Genomic DNA, 14,666 nt, shown 5'->3' on the forward strand with positions numbered 1-14,666 from the left:
GCTAATTTTGTATTTTTAAGTAGAGACGGGGTTTCTCCATGTTGGTCAGGTTGGTCTCGAACTCCTGACCTCAGATGATCTGCCTGCTTCGGCCTCCCAAAGTGCTAGGATTATAAGCATAAGCCACCGAGGCTGGCCAAAACACTTTTTTTTTTTGAGACGGAGTCTCACTCTGTTGCCCAGGCTGGAGTGCAGTGGTGTGATCTCAGCTCACTGCAACCTCAGTCTCCTGGGTTCAAGAGATTCTCCTGCCTCAGCCTCCTGAGTAGCTGGGATTACAGGCACATGCCGCCACATCCAGCTACTTTTTGTATTTTTAGTAGAGACGGGGTTTCACCACGTTGGCCAGGATGGTCTCAATCTCCTAACCTCGTGATCCACCCGCCTCGGCCTCCCAAAGTATTGGGATTACAGGCATGAGCCATCGTGCCTGGCCAAAATATTTTTTTTTTAAAATGAATGTTTGACAATTGAGAGAAAGACCAAAAGCAGGAAATTAATAATCCACTAAGTTTCAGTCACAATGTAACTGCCAATGTTTGAATCTTTTCTGTTTCACTCTATGTGTCTGTGTGTAGGATCGGAAAGGGAGATGGCACTGGGTTTCTGTAAGGTGTGAGTGAATCTTGGGTTTTGGAAACACTGAGATTTCAGAAAACAGAATATAAATTGTAGATGTCCCAATTTGGCAAGAGATAAGCTCTGTTTTTGTTTAGAAAATTCTATAGATTCATAGATAAGAAACTATGGGCAAAAGTGTTTGATACGTAGATCAACCAGTATTTAGGCAGGGATCATGTCTGTGAAAACCTTGAAGTGTGCAAGGTGGGGTAAATGAGAGAGTAGCTCTAGACTGAGCTGGACTGGTCTATCATCCAATGAATCTCTAGGATTCTGATGGTGAAAAGGTTATTTTCTCCTTTCCTGCTCACTTCTGTGGCCCTGACAGAGGGAAGAACTAGTAGCTTCTGTGGTAGACTATATATATATATATATATATATTTTTTTTTTTTTTTTTTCTTTTTTGCTCCCTGGAGTGTTTGTCTCCCTCCCCTTTGGATAACAAAATCTGCTCTACCCGCCATGTCCATGGTGGGAAAGGAGTTTTCTTTTTTGTTTTTTGAAACAGTCTCGTTCTGTTGCCCAGGCTGGAGTGCAGTGGCGGGATCTCGGCTCCATGCAACCTCTGTCTCCTGGGCTAAGCGATCCTCCCACCTCAGCCTCCTCAGTAACTGGGATTACAGGCACGTGCCACCATGCCAGGCTAATTTTTGTATTTTTAGTAGAGAGGGGTTTTGCCCTGTTGACCAGGCTGGTGTCGAACTCCTGGGCTCAAGTGATCCGCCCGCCTCGGCCTCCCAAAGTGTTGGGATTACAGGCATGAGCCACTGTGCCTGGCCGCAAAGGAGTTTTCTTTGGCGCTATCATCTCTGCTGGTTGGAGAGGATGACAGAAGAAGGAAATGCTGAGATGAATGGAGAGAAAAAGAGAATGAAGGAATGAAGGAAGGACGATGACATCCTTTGTAGCCCTGAAACTCGGACTCTGGGTTTCCAGATAGGTGAGCCAAGCCCCTCTTCCTTTTTTTCCATAAGCCATTTTCATCTGGGCTCCATTCACCTGCAACTGAAGGCATCCTGATTCATACAGCTCCTCCCCCTTTCCCTGCCTACTCACAGGATCCCTGTAATCCCTATACCTCAGTTTCCTCATACTGATCCCCTGTGGATTAGTTGATCACTGATAAAGTTGATTTTTCCCACCAAACACAGAGTGCAGTATTATTATAAACAGTAACGTCTATTCTTAGGAACTGCAGGTTTCCCGTCTTGGCTGCTTTACCAGAGTTTCTGAATCAGGGCCAGCTCTCTTTCAATAACACAAGACAATCTAAGCAGAATAGTAATGATAGTCCAAAATTTTTACACAATCCAAAGTACCAGCGACTTTCAGTGACTTGTATAAACAAGGTCCACAGACGACCAGTAGGGTTGAAAGCATCATTTTATTGTATTTGGTTTGTGCTGTGGCATTTTATTGAGGCTTGACAAATAAGACTGTAATTTGGGGACAGGAAGCACTGAATAACAAAAAGAACTAATGTCTCCTTGACATCACTCACTCTTAAGAGGGCTGTTTACATCTGAGTTTACCTCCTAGTGTGTTTTAAAATACTCTTGCAAATCTCAGTTGGCTCGAAATAGCTGTTCTATGTTCTTTCAATGGAAGCCCCCACCTTCTGAGTACACTGGTTCATAGTTATTTATAAACCTGATGTCACTCAAATATTATTTTTACATCCCTCTCCTTACTCCCTCACATATGAAGATAGACCTATATAAAATTAGAAACTTCACATAAGGTATTCAGTCACTTAGGTAGGAATTATTGTCAGTCAGCAATCATTTATGAAGCATAAATTCATCATATTGGGTGAAGCATGTCTGTAAAACTGTTCCGTGGTAACCAGCTCTTTCTTCTTCTTTTTTTTTCCTTGGTGTTCTGAGGCAATTTAGGAAAAGCAATGAGGGCTGGGGGCTGGACTTAAAAGGTCTGTTTTTTTAAATTTTTTTATTTTTCGAGACAGAGTCTCGCTCTGTTGCCCAGGTTGGATGGAGTGCATGATCTCGGCTCACTGCAACCTCCACCTCCCAGGTTCAAGCGATTCTCCTGCCTGAGCCTCCTGAGTAGCTGGGATTACAGGCGTGCACCACTATACCCAGCTAATTTTTTGTATTTTTAGTAGAGACGGGGTCTCACCGTCTTGGCCAGGCTGGTCTCGAACTCCTGACTGCATGATCTGCCCGCCTCTGCCTCCCAAAGTGCTGGGATTACAGGTGTGAGCCACCACACCCGGCCCAGCTCTTTCTTTCTTTCTTTTTTGAGACAGAGTTTTGCTCTTGTTGCCCAGGCTGGAGTGCAATGGCAGGATCTCGGCTCACCGCAACCTCCACCTCCCGGATTCAAGCGATTCTCGTGCCTCAGCCTCCAGAGTAGCTGGGATTACAGGCATGTGCCACCACGCCCAGCTAATTTTGTATTTTTAGTAGAGACAGGGTTTCTCCATGTTGGTCAAGCTGGTCTGGAACTCCCAACCTTAGGTGATCCACCCACCTCGGCCTCCCAAATTGCTGGGATTACAGGCGTGAACCACCGTGCCTGGCCAGGTCCAGCTCTTTCTTAAAAAAAGATTTCTGTGATCAAATTAGTTTGTAAAACTACATGCCCCTTTGGGGATTTCTAAAAACCCTACAGTAAAGTAATCGAGTTATCTTTATTATAAGGTAGCAGTCTGCAAATTTATTTCATCGAAGAATTATTTTCTTTTCAGTCCCACCTAGTAACATTTCATGGAATCATATGTCTTGAATCCCATTTTGGAAAACCAGGGAGGTGGCCTGCACTGGGTATGTGGAGCCGAGAGTCCTGAGTTTGACCCTTGGCTCATCCACTCAACTGGTTGTATGACTTTGAGCAAATCACAACCTCTTAATATTTCATTTTCACATTTGAAGAGTGAGGACAGTAATACCTGTCTTGATCTAAGTTGTTTTATGGTTTAAATGAAATTATTATGACAGTGTGCTTTAAACACTATTAAAGTTATACAAATGAAAGCTATCATTAGATAGCTCGGATAAATATGAGGTCTTTTTGGAAATTAATAACATACAAGTGTAAAGAAACTTAACCTAGCAACTTTTACTGAATGATTGTGGATTTGAGTTTACTTAGGGGCCAGCACTGAGGGGGAAAAGCAGCATAATACAAAGGTAAAGGTAGGACTAGAGAATGTTGGGTGTAGAAATGTCTTTGGGAAATAACTGAATTTAACCCTCTAATTTTTAATTTTATGTTTGTAGAGATGGTGTCTGGCTATGTTACCCAGGCTGGTCTTGAGCTCTTGGGCTCAAGCAATCCTTCCGCTTTGGCTTTCCAAAGTGCTAGGATTAGAGGTGTGAACCACCACACCCAGCCTAACCTGCTCATTTTATAAATGACAGACCCAAGGCCTATATGAGGCAGGTGAATGGCATATGGTCACTCAGAGACTTAATATTAGAAACATCTGATTCCCTCATTGCCAATGGCTGCCTCAATATGAGACAAATCATGGCCCCATCCAATTTTCAATTAAGAGATACAAGATACTTACATGACATAATCAGAAAAAAATACAACAGAGAACAATTTTTTTTTGTTTGTTTTTGACAGGGTCTTTCTCTGTCACCCAGGTTGGAGTGTAATGGTGCAATGTCAGCTCACTGCAACCTCAGCCTCCCGCTCAAGCCATCCTCCCACCTAAGCCTCCCAAGTAACTGGGACTACAGGTGCACACTACCATGCCTGGGCCACCACGTCCAGCTAATTTTTTTTTTTTTTTTGGTAGAGATAGGGTTTCACCATGTTACCCAGGCTGGTCTCAAACTCCAGAGCTCAAGTGATCCTTTTGCCTCGGCCTTCCAAAGTGCTGGGATTACAGATGTGAGTCACCACATTCGGCCTCAGAATAAAATTTTAAAGCTCAAAAATTATTGCCAAAATAGGAAGGGCAATGAGAATCCAGGAATGAGTAGGCCAAGCAGCGAGGCTGGATTGGAAATGGGCCTGAATTTGGGGCCTTGAAGAACGTATAACACTACATTGGATTTAGATAATGCAAGAGGAAAACTAGCAGAGTTCCAGAATGGAATGGAAGATGATGGTAGGAGACTAAATGTTGGGCAATAGTCTAAATAGTTGGGCATTATAGTTTTGGTGAAATATTCAACAGTAAGCATTTACTGGACATCTTTCAAATTTGATGAAGTTTTTGGAGCTTTGGAGGGTATGAGAAGTAGACAACATCATCTCTTTAGGGAATTTCCTTTTTACTTGGAGAGAAGAACTAGAAACATTAAAAGTGGAGAATGTAAACAAATAGGATGCAATGCAAAGGGGTGAAATATGCACTTCTTTAAGTATGTATGTGAACCCCTACACCTACTTCAAAACTCCTTAACACCTAGTCATCTCAGCAATGTGTTCTTTTTAGCTTCTTTTCTACATTGCTGATATAGTACTTTTTGGAGGTATCACAATCCATTGTAAACTCTGCCTTTTTTTTTTTTTTTTTTTTACTGAGCTGTGAGCTTCCTGTGTCCTCAGGGATGAGGACAGTGCTGGCATAGAGTCTAATACAATCAATGTACCTAGACATGTTCTCATCCCTGCCCCTCCAATTGAAGAGGTCAAGGCTTTGAGATGTGAAAATCATCATAAGAAAAGCTGCATTTGACTTACAGAAAATGAAAAAGAGGAGGAAGGAGCAAGAAAAGCCTTGGATGGTCTTGCCAAGATGGTAGGGGAAGGAAGTTCATTAGGAGTAGGTTACTTTCACAACAGGAAAATCTTTCAACCACTAAGAAGGCCAACCTTTTTTCTCTTTCAGGGAAAACAACACTAATATTATTCAAATCTTTTGGAAATGAGCAAATTCCTTCCTTTCCCCTCTGCCCTGAGGCCTCAACTTTACACAATAGTTTTTCACACCAGGTGACCTGGAGCTGGTAGCCTGGCAGGGGAGTTCGCAAGCCCAGGACTGAGAAGTCCAGGCCCCAGGGCTAGTTAGGGGAACAGAAAAGAAACTCACCTTTGTTCATTAATATTTGCCTAGGGAATGAGGTATCTGCGTTAAACTTACAGAAAGCTGGTTAAAATCTTAACAACGTGGAGACGTGGAGATTCCCAGTATGCCAGTCCTAATGATCAGAAAGTTTTTAGAAAACACCTTGGGTGGCCCTACTGTAGTCTGCCCCATTGGATCCTTCCCAGGAAATGGCACCAGCGTACAAGTTTTGCAGTATTCAGGGCACAAAAGATCATTTATTTTTCCAATTGTGAAGTGAACATTAGATAAAATTATTTCATTTCAGATTTTTTGAAAAGGTAAAAATAATAAGGAAAATACCCTCTCGAAAAGGCTTTTTATTTCGTTTACTGAAAGCTTCCAATAACGTGCCTAGTTTTAAACTAGGTTACTGTTATTTATCACATAATCATCCCCACAGGTTTGATCACCACTAATTTGCAGATGCGGAAACTGACAAGCTCAGAGAGGCTCTCGGTTGCCTTTTGGGAAGTGGCCAAGGCGCGATTTGAATCCAGGTCTCTTACCTCCAGTTTCTGAGACCTTTCTAGACACCAAGGTTATCTCTTCAAATACTGCTGCAAGTAAACAGCTGTGTGAGTATCTAGACTTTTGAAGTTAGCAGACTCTAGGGAATAGGTAGAATAAAATATATGGGTATGTGTTCGCGGGAGCGCTTCTGCCACGTTTTATTCCGAGGCTAGCCTGAGAGATCATGGAAAACATTGCTTCTCCAAAACCACAGCGAAAAACAAGGAAATTAACAAGGCAGAATCGCGATGCGAGACTTGACAAAGTTGTTAATAAGGCGAAGGCCCAAAGCGCTATGCCAGGGCCTGCTACTTCATTTGTTTCAGCGATTAAACCAGCACGACAGGGGGCTGGAGGCAGGTAAAAAGCAGGCTCTTGCGTGGCCCGGACAGTTGATATTCCTGGCACTCGGTGTTCGAGATGTTTCCTTACAATTGCGTGTCTGTGCGGCTCGGTCTCCATATTCCACTCATTTTTGTCTCAACATTTTGTGGTATTTTATCACAAAATACGCCCGGCAAAGCAAAGATCCCGTTCAGTCTCTTTAAACACGGCTATCTTTTCTCAGGAGGCAGCCGCCGGGGCTTCACTCCTGGGCCACCAGCGACGTCCTCCAAGCGGGTCGAGCGGAGGCGCGTTCGCGACCCAGGGGCAGCGTGCCGAGCCCGGGCGTGGGGGGGCGTGGCCTTTCCACTCGGCGACCCCCGGCCACCGCCCACCCCGCGCGTGGGGGCGTGCGCGACTGCGGGGCGCGGAGAGGGGTGACCTCGGACTACCCTAGGCGCCCGCAGCACGCTCTGTACACAGACGCGAGGCGCTGTCCTGAGGTGACACCGGCTGCACGGCACAAGCAGCAGGCGCCGCCGATCAACTAGTTCGCACCGAGGATTCCTCTTGGTGCGTGGCCCAGTTTTCCTTAGGACGGGCTCCAACCCCTCCCTGACACCGCCCCCCTCACCGCCACGCTCCGAGGCCTTCCCCGGGGAAGCCTCGCGTCCCTCCCCCGCGGCTCCGGGCCGCACGCGCGCGATTCCTCGATTCCACAGGCGGTTCGCGCCGCGGGTGGGGGCGGGGCGCGCGGGGAGGGGGCTGGCGGCCGCCAGGGGAGGGGGGCCGGGGCCCGGGGGGCGGAGGAGGGCCGGCGTGGGGAGTTCCTCGCTCGCGGACCACACGCTCCGCGGGCCAATCCCGAGCCAGCCTCTAGCAGTGTCGCACGCGGGACACGTCCAAGCGTTTGTTGGCACGGCCAGTGAGGGGGAGGGGGCGAGGAGGAGGGAGGGGAGTTGAGTGACAGGCTTTGCGGGGCAGGCTGGGAATTGTAGTTCCCAGCTTCCGTGGCCATAGCCATTTTGTAGTCGGGGGACTACAACTTCCAGAAGATCAAGGGGACCATTCTAAGGTGCCCCGGGAATAGGCGGCTCTCCCCGGGGCCGGGCGTCCTGGGGCACTCCTACCCAGCAGCCCGGCTGCAGGTAGACGCGAAGGCAGTGGCGGGGGCTGGCGTGGGGCGGCCGTGGGGTGAGCGGCAGGCAGGGGAAAGGGGGTGAGGTGGAGCGACGGAGCGTGCCATGCATTGAGCTAGGGAGCCTCTCTCAATTCCACGCCTGGGCTCGGCGTGGGAGCGACGCCCGAGGGCTTGCCTGGGAGGGGTTCGTCGAGGTCGCTCGGGTGTCTGGTTGGCCAGGCTGCGGGGGTGCCCTGGACTGGGCCAGGGGCGGTCGGCACCAGGCTAAGCGGGCGCCTGGCGGCTGAGCGGTGGGAGTTTTCGGCTGGCGCCCGGCGGGGAATTATCCGAGGAGCCCTAACTTGTATAAAAGCAGAGTCCATTTAAAGTTGGGCTGGATAGCCTCTCTCTCATTGGTTAGGGGGCTTGGAAAAAAGAGACTCGGCGAGCCCTCGCTGTGGTGCTGCCGCCGCCGCCGCCGCCGCCGCTGGAGTTGACTCTTCTGCTCGCACTGCTGCTGCAGCACAAACGTGACTTCCAACATTTTTTATTTATCTTTCCCTTTTCTTTTCCAAGATGTAACTACGGATCAGACACTAAGGACCTTCACGTTTCGCTGATGTAGTTTTTGGAGGAAAAAGGGGGGGGAGTGAAGGGCGTCGGTTTTTTTTTGTGTGTGTGTGTATGTGTTTCGGGGGAAATTTTCCATTATGAGTGTTTTACTAAAGTGAATTTTTTTTTGTTTGCTTCGTTCGTCTTTGGCTCTTTTTTTTTCCTTCCCAATTTCGGATTTATTTCAAGGCGAATCTGGCTTTGGGGGAAGAGGAAGAAAAGTCGGATTACAAGATCAACCACCACCAACAACAATAAAAACCACCAGGATATTTTTTTGCAAATTTCTGACGGCTTTAAATTCATGAAGCAATTGTCCCCTTTTGCAATCAGCATTTGGATCTCAGAATGAGCAAGGAAAGACCCAAGAGGAATATCATTCAGAAGAAATACGTAAGTGCTCCTAACAACACATCCTTTGACTTGCAGTTTTAAGCAATGGCTGTGAATGTCAAGTTTATAGATAATTCTGCCTCTGAAGGGTTTTAAACACAGCGTCCGATAAGGCTGTTTCTTTTTTTTCTGAAAGAGGGCTTTTCAAGCAAAGTGGTGTCTGCCTAGTTTGGTTGAAAAAACAGACTGGTGTAGAGATACCTCAAGTGAATAAATTGACCTCGAATGACACAACCATAATCTACTTTTAGATGAAAGGCAAGGGATTTTGGTGGAGCTTGAGGTGGGGGGTGGCTGCGGTAATGTAACTAAACTGCATTCTCAAGCGGATTTGGCCCCGTATTGCACTTTGCATGCAAATGAGCCTGTGTTATTATTATTAATGTTATTTGGAAAAATCGTGTAACGCATGTGTGTTGGAAGCCCTTTAAGTTGCGATCGAGGGTCCGATTATGGCGATCTTCTCTTTGCACTGGCACATCAAATTTAATGTCTGTGGTCGTTTTGGCTTATCTGGTTTGCAACATAAACCAGTTGGGAATCATGTTACAGCGAATGCATTTGTTGGGATTGACTTTAATAATGAGGCTGGTTTTGTTTAAAAAATTCATGGTTTCCAGTTGTAGGGGAAAAGGACACACACTATGGCTAATGTTTTTAAGTGTGTACGTGAATGCATATGTAAGTAACTACAAATAATTTCTCCCTGTTAACTGGGCTTCTGAAATTGGGTGATTATTCCTAGATTTAAATGGCTTGGAATAGTTAAATTTGTTTTGTGCATAGTACAGCTACGTTTTGATTGGCATGGGGAGTGTTTTTGTTTTGTGTGTGGTGGCTTTTTTTTTTTTTTAAGTTTGAGGGGAGGGAGGAAAGGGGGACCGAGGGATTAACCAAATATGCACTCGAGTGATCTGTGATTAGCTGCATGCTTTAAATTAAATAACTCTTTTTTTTTTTCAAAAAAGGCCAAATGAACATACCTTAGGAATAATGCAACGTAAGAGGAAAGTTTATTTAAGTTGGGTAGACAAATTGGTGTTAATATTTTCCCTTTTTGATCATTGTGGTGTGTGTAATGAGAGATGACCTTCGGGGCACTGGTTTTGTAAAAAAATATATTTAATGGAAAAGCTGAATGCCTCTTCAAGAGAGCTGATCCTTATCTAGACACGTCAACTTCAACTATGAAAGAAATGCAAGGTTAAATAATCAAGCCCAACTTAGAAAGCTGTTCCATAAAGAATTTAAGAATTAAAATACATCCGCATTGCAGAGGGCTGGGTAGAATGCAAAGGACTAGTTTAAACTCGGGCTGTAGAAACTGCACTGAGGCAACCTTGTCTTGGAGCGTGGACGCCTTCCCGGGGCACGTCCGTTTCGGATGCAGCCACAAAGCAAATGGGGTAGAACTTGGACGAGAACCGCACCCCGCCTCCCATTCCGGACCTCGTTGAGGTGGAGAGCAGCGTGGGGTGGGTTTTCTTTCTTATTGCGGGCGTTCAGCGGATCGTGTCTCCGAGTCCGGGCGTCCGGCTGCAAGCCCGTGGCTGGCGGCGGCTGCGGGAGGCACGGCACGAGTTAATGCACCGGGAGCAGAGCCGGTGTTCCCGACGTCCTCGAGCCGGCTGCGAAAGGGACGGCCCGCGGGGGTCGCGGCAGGCTGGGCCGGGGCTGGGCGGGCGGGCGCGCGCGCGCGGCCTATAGGGGGCATACTCCGGGCTCTAGGCGGGCGCGCGAGGCGGGCACCGGTCTACCCGGGCCGGCTTGCAGGCGGGCAGGAGGGCGGGTGGGGCGCGGGGGTGGCGCGGCCTGCGGGGCGCGGGGAGGGGAGAGCGCGCGGGGAGGGGGTGGGAGCGGGGGCGGGGGCGTGGGCGTGCCGGGGAGGGGGCGCGCGGCGCACAGCTGCAGCGGGCGCCCCCCACCGCGCACACGGCCGAGCATGGCGGCGGCGGCCCGGCCGGCTTCCCGCGGCCCTGCCTGCGGGCTCCGACGCAGTCTCGAGAGCAACAGGTTAAGCCGGCGAGACGTCAGCGCGCCCCCTCTCCGCCCCCCGGTTCTTCCCCCGCCGCGCGCCGGCGCCCCAGCCCTTCTTCCCTCCCTCCGCCCCCCGCGGCGCTCGGTTCCCCGACGCTCCCGGCCGCACTCTGTTGTCATTGTGACGTCACAAAGGGACGGGCTCGGGTGGAACCTTCCCCTCCTCCTCCGTGACGTCAAAAGTCGGGCGGGAGGCTCCAGGCGCGGCGGGGCGGCGGGGGGAGGAGGGAGCTGGGCGGGGGCGGGGGCTGCCGCAGAGCCGGGCTGCGGCGTGGGAGGAGGAAGAGGAGGAAGATGCGCTCGGCCTCTGCCTTCCGCTCCGGAGCGTCGCGCTTCCCACCAGGTGAGGGCCGGGGAGCCGTAGGTCCCCAAAGGAGTGCCACTGGACCCTGTTCTGATGCCACTTGGGAAGCGGGGAGCGGGGAGGAGGCGCCTCCTTTCTGCAGGAATGTTTTCACTTCCTCTGTTCCAGGTCTCCTGATGGTGTTGCATTACTAGCGTGGTGCATGTGTCCCCTCTCCAGTGCTTATGTAAAGAAATGAAAGTATTCAGGGAAAGCTGTGCTTTGTTGGAGGACCGCGTTGTGGATTTGGCCACCTTGTCACTTGAAGTCGTGTTAGGGGTGCTTCAGCAGGATGTGGCCGGATGCCTTTCATGATGATGCTGCACAGCAGCAACTGTTGCTCTTTCTGGAAGCTTTGTGGTACTACGGTGGGGGGGCTTTCCTTTGCTGTGCCGGCTCTGTACCTACTGACTGTTATTTTGGGGGGCTGGACCAAAGGAAGACTTGTCATTGATAAATGTACTGAGAAGAGCACAGGACTCCTTTAAGTCTCAAGGTGCTCTGGGCTTAGTTCTTCTGAGCAGGGAAACCAGAGGCTGGCGTTCTGTTTTCTCTTTTGTAAAATGGAAAAATACCTGCCATTGCCACTTAACTAAGTCACTGAAAAGATCATGTGCATGGAAGATGTAAAACAGTATGCCTCTTTATAAGTAAGGTGGCATTATTACTTGAGCTGGTGGAAGGCAGCACGTTTCCCACAATTGGTCTCAAAAGCCCGGGATGCCTGCTGAGTTGCCATTTAGTTTATTACCTTAGCAAAGCAGAGTTGGGGGTGCGATTGTCGATAGTAGGCTTTGGGAGAAATGATTGTTATATTTCGTAATAAATGATGTCCTTGAGAAACTCATAAGTTGCAGTGTAATCCTGTCTTAATTGTGTTGAGCACGACTCCCACTGCAATACCTTAAATAACTGAAAACATTTGCCTTTGAAAGCCCCAATCGACTTGGACAATAAAAACAGTTGCATGTTTTGCTCTAGAGATATTTTCTGCCGTTTCCATCATTCCACTGCCTGGTTATTCCTAGGGAGAATAACAGATAGGATACTGGGGCTTCACCACTATTTGATCAGGTATCAGTTTGAAATAGAGAATCTCTGCCTTATGAAGATAGTAATTCCTGTAGTTAGCATGAAAACAAATTGCCAGTTTGATTTTCTAGGACAGCTCAAGCAGAATTTGTACCACTAGGCTGTAAGTTTTAAGTATCTAATTTTCTGATTTGAAAGTGTATGATTTAAAAATTGGAAAAAGTTTTTGTTATAAGCTTCAAAAGGATTTACTATAATTACAACTACGTAAAATTACAAAGAAAAAAGTAGGAAGAACACAAAATATACAGTGGTTGGATTTATGAGGTTTTTTGTTTTAAAACTTATTCATCACAAATTGTTCAGTCACGTTATTTTACAGTTGGTGGGGTGGTGGGGAAATTTGCACGTTATTTTATTGCTGTATTTTTTCTTTCCTGGGATGTTTACGTGGCTTTTCAGTTACTTGTTTCTAGTAGTGGAAAATCTTGCTCTGTGTTACTTAGGTGCAGGGCAGTGGCAGTTTAGCTCCTATCACTGTACAGGGACAGTATGGAAGGAAGACACAATGAAGTCCAAAGTGTCACTAAAATTTGAAAGAAAAATTATGTCGACAAGTAATCCAACTTGGTTTATTATCCAGGTTATATTATTTTACAGTAGGCTAATACCTAACTTGTGTGTCCCTGTAGCCACTGGCCCAAATAGACAACTAGAATTATTTGGTACTCGGTAATGCCTGTTTCCTCATAGTGGGTTAAACCAGTCCCTGTTGCTGGGCTGAAGGCTATTGACGCACTTCCAAGTGCCTTGGAAATAACTCCAGTGTTAATATATACCGTACTCCAAATGTTAAACTTTCCTCCTTCAGAACAAGACAATCTTTTGGAGTATATAATTGGTGTCTGTTACCTTCAAAATGGAACTTTTTTTTTTTTTTCAGAGAAGACACGAGAATGTCATATTAAAAGCGTAGTTCGTTAAAACACTTGGTGAAGGCTAACCTAGAGAGCATTTGTTTTTTTGTTTCCTTTTTTTTTTGAGACAGGGTCTTGCTCAGCCACCCAGGCTGGAACGCAGTGGTTCCTCACTGCAACCACTGTCTTCCGGGTTCAATCGATTCTCCTGTCTCAGCCTCCCGAGTAGGTGGGATTACAGGCACCCCCTATCATGTCCGGCTAATTTTTGTATTTTAGTAGAGATGGAGTTTCATTTCACCATATTGGCCTAGCTGGTCTTGAACTCCTGACCTCAGGTGATCTGCCCGCCTTGGCCTCCCAAAGTGCTGGGATTACAGGCGTGAGCCACTGCACCCAGCCAGCTGAACATTTTTAAGCTAGTGGTTTGCCCTTGCTCATGATGGTGTGAGGACTCACACTCCTGACATTGTCTGAATTCTGGCTGCATTGCTCTGATCATCCTGATGTTACTGGTCCACGTCTCCCCCAGGATTACAGTAGTAGCAGCTCTACTAACCACCTTTTGTCTACCCATCCTGCTTGCCCTGTTGGCTGCAGTATGTCCTGACTGATATCCCAGGATACAGGTCCTGGCCACCTCTGGGATGTACCTCTGTCCCCTTTGGCTTTCACCCAGAAGTCTTGCCAAGTGTCAGTTGTTTGTTCCCAAATCTGGTTATTCCAGTTGGGCTTATTATTGTAATTACAGTTAAGTATTATGTCAACCTTGAAACAGTGTGAAAAAGAGCGTGGTGGCTCATGCCTGTAATCCCAGCACTTTGGGAGGCTGAGGTGGGCGGATCATGAGGGTCAGGAGTTCAAGCCCAGCCTGACCAACATGGTGAAACCCCGTCTCTACTAAAAATACAAAAATTACCCGGGCATGGTGGCGCATGCCTGTAATCCCAGCTACTCGGGAGGCTGAGGCAGCAGAATTACTTGAACCCAGGAGGCGGAGGTTGCGGTGAGCCGCTTGAACCTGGGAGGCGGAGGTTGCAGTGAGCCGCTTGAACCTGGGAGGCGGAGGTTGCAGTGAGCTGAGATCCTGCCACTGCGTTCCAGCCTGGGCAAAAGAGTGAGACTCCATTCAAAAAAAAATGTGGGCCAGACATTTTTAAGATGTTTGGGAAAATCTGAAAGGACTGTCCACACACATTGCTTTGCAAGTGATTCCCTTTTAAGAACCAAACTTCAGTTATGCCCAGACTTCCCCAACAATCAAAACAGCATAATGTAGAACAACAGAACGTTCAGAGACTTAAGCTCAGAAAGAAGACCCATGGCCTCATATCAAAAAAACCGTAATTAAAAGTAGATTTGTCTGTCAGTTAATACAAAATGTTAGGGAATACCTTTTTTTTTTAAAAATTGTTTGTTATCTAACAAACTTGTTCCCATTAACTAACCAACTTCTGGTTCTTGTCATCTCTGATAAGAGTGCTTCCAACTGTGTTTAGCCTTAATCCCCGCATGCTAAACTGGACTCCCTGTCTGCTTCATGCCATGTAACATGTAAAGTGTGGATCAGTTTAAAGTAGTCCTACTGAGGTGATTGTATTACTTTTGGAGTTAAAATAATTGTGCCATTTACTGAGTGGCAGGGAGCAGAAAGATTAGTAATTTTGCACCTAATTCATGGAGTTCAGAAGCTTCTATCTTGTAATCTGGCAACTTTAATTATATATT

The 14,666-nt window shown here is 47.3% G+C and overlaps 1 protein-coding gene and 2 long non-coding RNA genes across 16 annotated transcripts in view, besides 11 other annotated features; 1 reads left to right on the forward strand and 2 right to left on the reverse strand.

The window, feature by feature from the left end:
- Positions 852 to 1,352: an enhancer, noted in NCBI's record as "H3K4me1 hESC enhancer chr6:15239058-15239558 (GRCh37/hg19 assembly coordinates)". NCBI's record gives its function as "activates a minimal SCP1, AML or CMV promoter by ChIP-STARR-seq in naive H9 embryonic stem cells {active_cell/tissue: H9 hESC(naive)}" and the evidence as "EXISTENCE:reporter gene assay evidence [ECO:0000049][PMID:30033119]".
- Positions 1,353 to 1,853: an enhancer, noted in NCBI's record as "H3K4me1 hESC enhancer chr6:15239559-15240059 (GRCh37/hg19 assembly coordinates)". NCBI's record gives its function as "activates a minimal SCP1, AML or CMV promoter by ChIP-STARR-seq in naive H9 embryonic stem cells {active_cell/tissue: H9 hESC(naive)}" and the evidence as "EXISTENCE:reporter gene assay evidence [ECO:0000049][PMID:30033119]".
- On the reverse strand, positions 5,948 to 7,399 carry JARID2-DT (JARID2 divergent transcript). The gene has a single exon (NR_187237.1). It is a non-coding gene; the product is annotated as a JARID2 divergent transcript (long non-coding RNA).
- Positions 6,209 to 6,722: an enhancer, noted in NCBI's record as "NANOG-H3K27ac-H3K4me1 hESC enhancer chr6:15244415-15244928 (GRCh37/hg19 assembly coordinates)". NCBI's record gives its function as "activates a minimal SCP1, AML or CMV promoter by ChIP-STARR-seq in naive H9 embryonic stem cells {active_cell/tissue: H9 hESC(naive)}" and the evidence as "EXISTENCE:reporter gene assay evidence [ECO:0000049][PMID:30033119]".
- Positions 6,722 to 7,031: a silencer, noted in NCBI's record as "silent region_16946". NCBI's record gives its function as "represses an Ori minimal core promoter by ATAC-STARR-seq in GM12878 lymphoblastoid cells {active_cell/tissue: GM12878}" and the evidence as "EXISTENCE:reporter gene assay evidence [ECO:0000049][PMID:35858748]".
- Positions 7,042 to 7,301: a silencer, noted in NCBI's record as "silent region_16947". NCBI's record gives its function as "represses an Ori minimal core promoter by ATAC-STARR-seq in GM12878 lymphoblastoid cells {active_cell/tissue: GM12878}" and the evidence as "EXISTENCE:reporter gene assay evidence [ECO:0000049][PMID:35858748]".
- Positions 7,912 to 7,961: an enhancer, noted in NCBI's record as "active region_24064". NCBI's record gives its function as "activates an Ori minimal core promoter by ATAC-STARR-seq in GM12878 lymphoblastoid cells {active_cell/tissue: GM12878}" and the evidence as "EXISTENCE:reporter gene assay evidence [ECO:0000049][PMID:35858748]".
- Positions 8,072 to 8,171: an enhancer, noted in NCBI's record as "active region_24065". NCBI's record gives its function as "activates an Ori minimal core promoter by ATAC-STARR-seq in GM12878 lymphoblastoid cells {active_cell/tissue: GM12878}" and the evidence as "EXISTENCE:reporter gene assay evidence [ECO:0000049][PMID:35858748]".
- Positions 8,094 to 14,666, forward strand: part of JARID2 (jumonji and AT-rich interaction domain containing 2) — a 275,974-nt gene continuing 269,401 nt past the window's right edge. For 8 of the 14 annotated variants that reach the window (XM_011514579.4, XM_017010833.3, XM_047418735.1 and 5 more), the window contains exon 1: positions 8,094 to 8,609. In XM_011514579.4, the coding sequence (XP_011512881.1) occupies positions 8,565 to 8,609 (45 nt within the window). In that variant the 5' untranslated portion in view covers positions 8,094 to 8,564. Of the gene's footprint in view, positions 8,610 to 10,879; positions 10,990 to 14,666 lie in introns of those variants that run through there. The other 6 variants (XM_047418738.1, XM_047418741.1, XM_047418737.1 and 3 more) reach the window with 1 other exon arrangement.
- JARID2-AS1 (JARID2 antisense RNA 1) lies at positions 9,840 to 10,721 on the reverse strand. Its single transcript, NR_120502.1, has 2 exons — positions 10,535 to 10,721; positions 9,840 to 10,169 (listed from the first exon to the last, which is right to left on the reverse strand). It is a non-coding gene; the product is annotated as a JARID2 antisense RNA 1 (long non-coding RNA).
- Positions 10,287 to 10,346: a silencer, noted in NCBI's record as "silent region_16948". NCBI's record gives its function as "represses an Ori minimal core promoter by ATAC-STARR-seq in GM12878 lymphoblastoid cells {active_cell/tissue: GM12878}" and the evidence as "EXISTENCE:reporter gene assay evidence [ECO:0000049][PMID:35858748]".
- Positions 10,467 to 10,946: a silencer, noted in NCBI's record as "silent region_16949". NCBI's record gives its function as "represses an Ori minimal core promoter by ATAC-STARR-seq in GM12878 lymphoblastoid cells {active_cell/tissue: GM12878}" and the evidence as "EXISTENCE:reporter gene assay evidence [ECO:0000049][PMID:35858748]".
- Positions 11,135 to 11,976: an enhancer, noted in NCBI's record as "nonconserved acetylation island sequence 83". NCBI's record gives its function as "activates a minimal heat-shock promoter by reporter assays in Jurkat T cells {active_cell/tissue: Jurkat}" and the evidence as "EXISTENCE:reporter gene assay evidence [ECO:0000049][PMID:17135569]".
- Positions 13,665 to 14,440: an enhancer, noted in NCBI's record as "H3K4me1 hESC enhancer chr6:15251871-15252646 (GRCh37/hg19 assembly coordinates)". NCBI's record gives its function as "activates a minimal SCP1, AML or CMV promoter by ChIP-STARR-seq in naive H9 embryonic stem cells {active_cell/tissue: H9 hESC(naive)}" and the evidence as "EXISTENCE:reporter gene assay evidence [ECO:0000049][PMID:30033119]".

The sequence above is a fragment of the Homo sapiens genome, chromosome 6, assembly GCF_000001405.40.
Source record: "Homo sapiens chromosome 6, GRCh38.p14 Primary Assembly".
Lineage (NCBI taxonomy): Eukaryota > Metazoa > Chordata > Mammalia > Primates > Hominidae > Homo > Homo sapiens.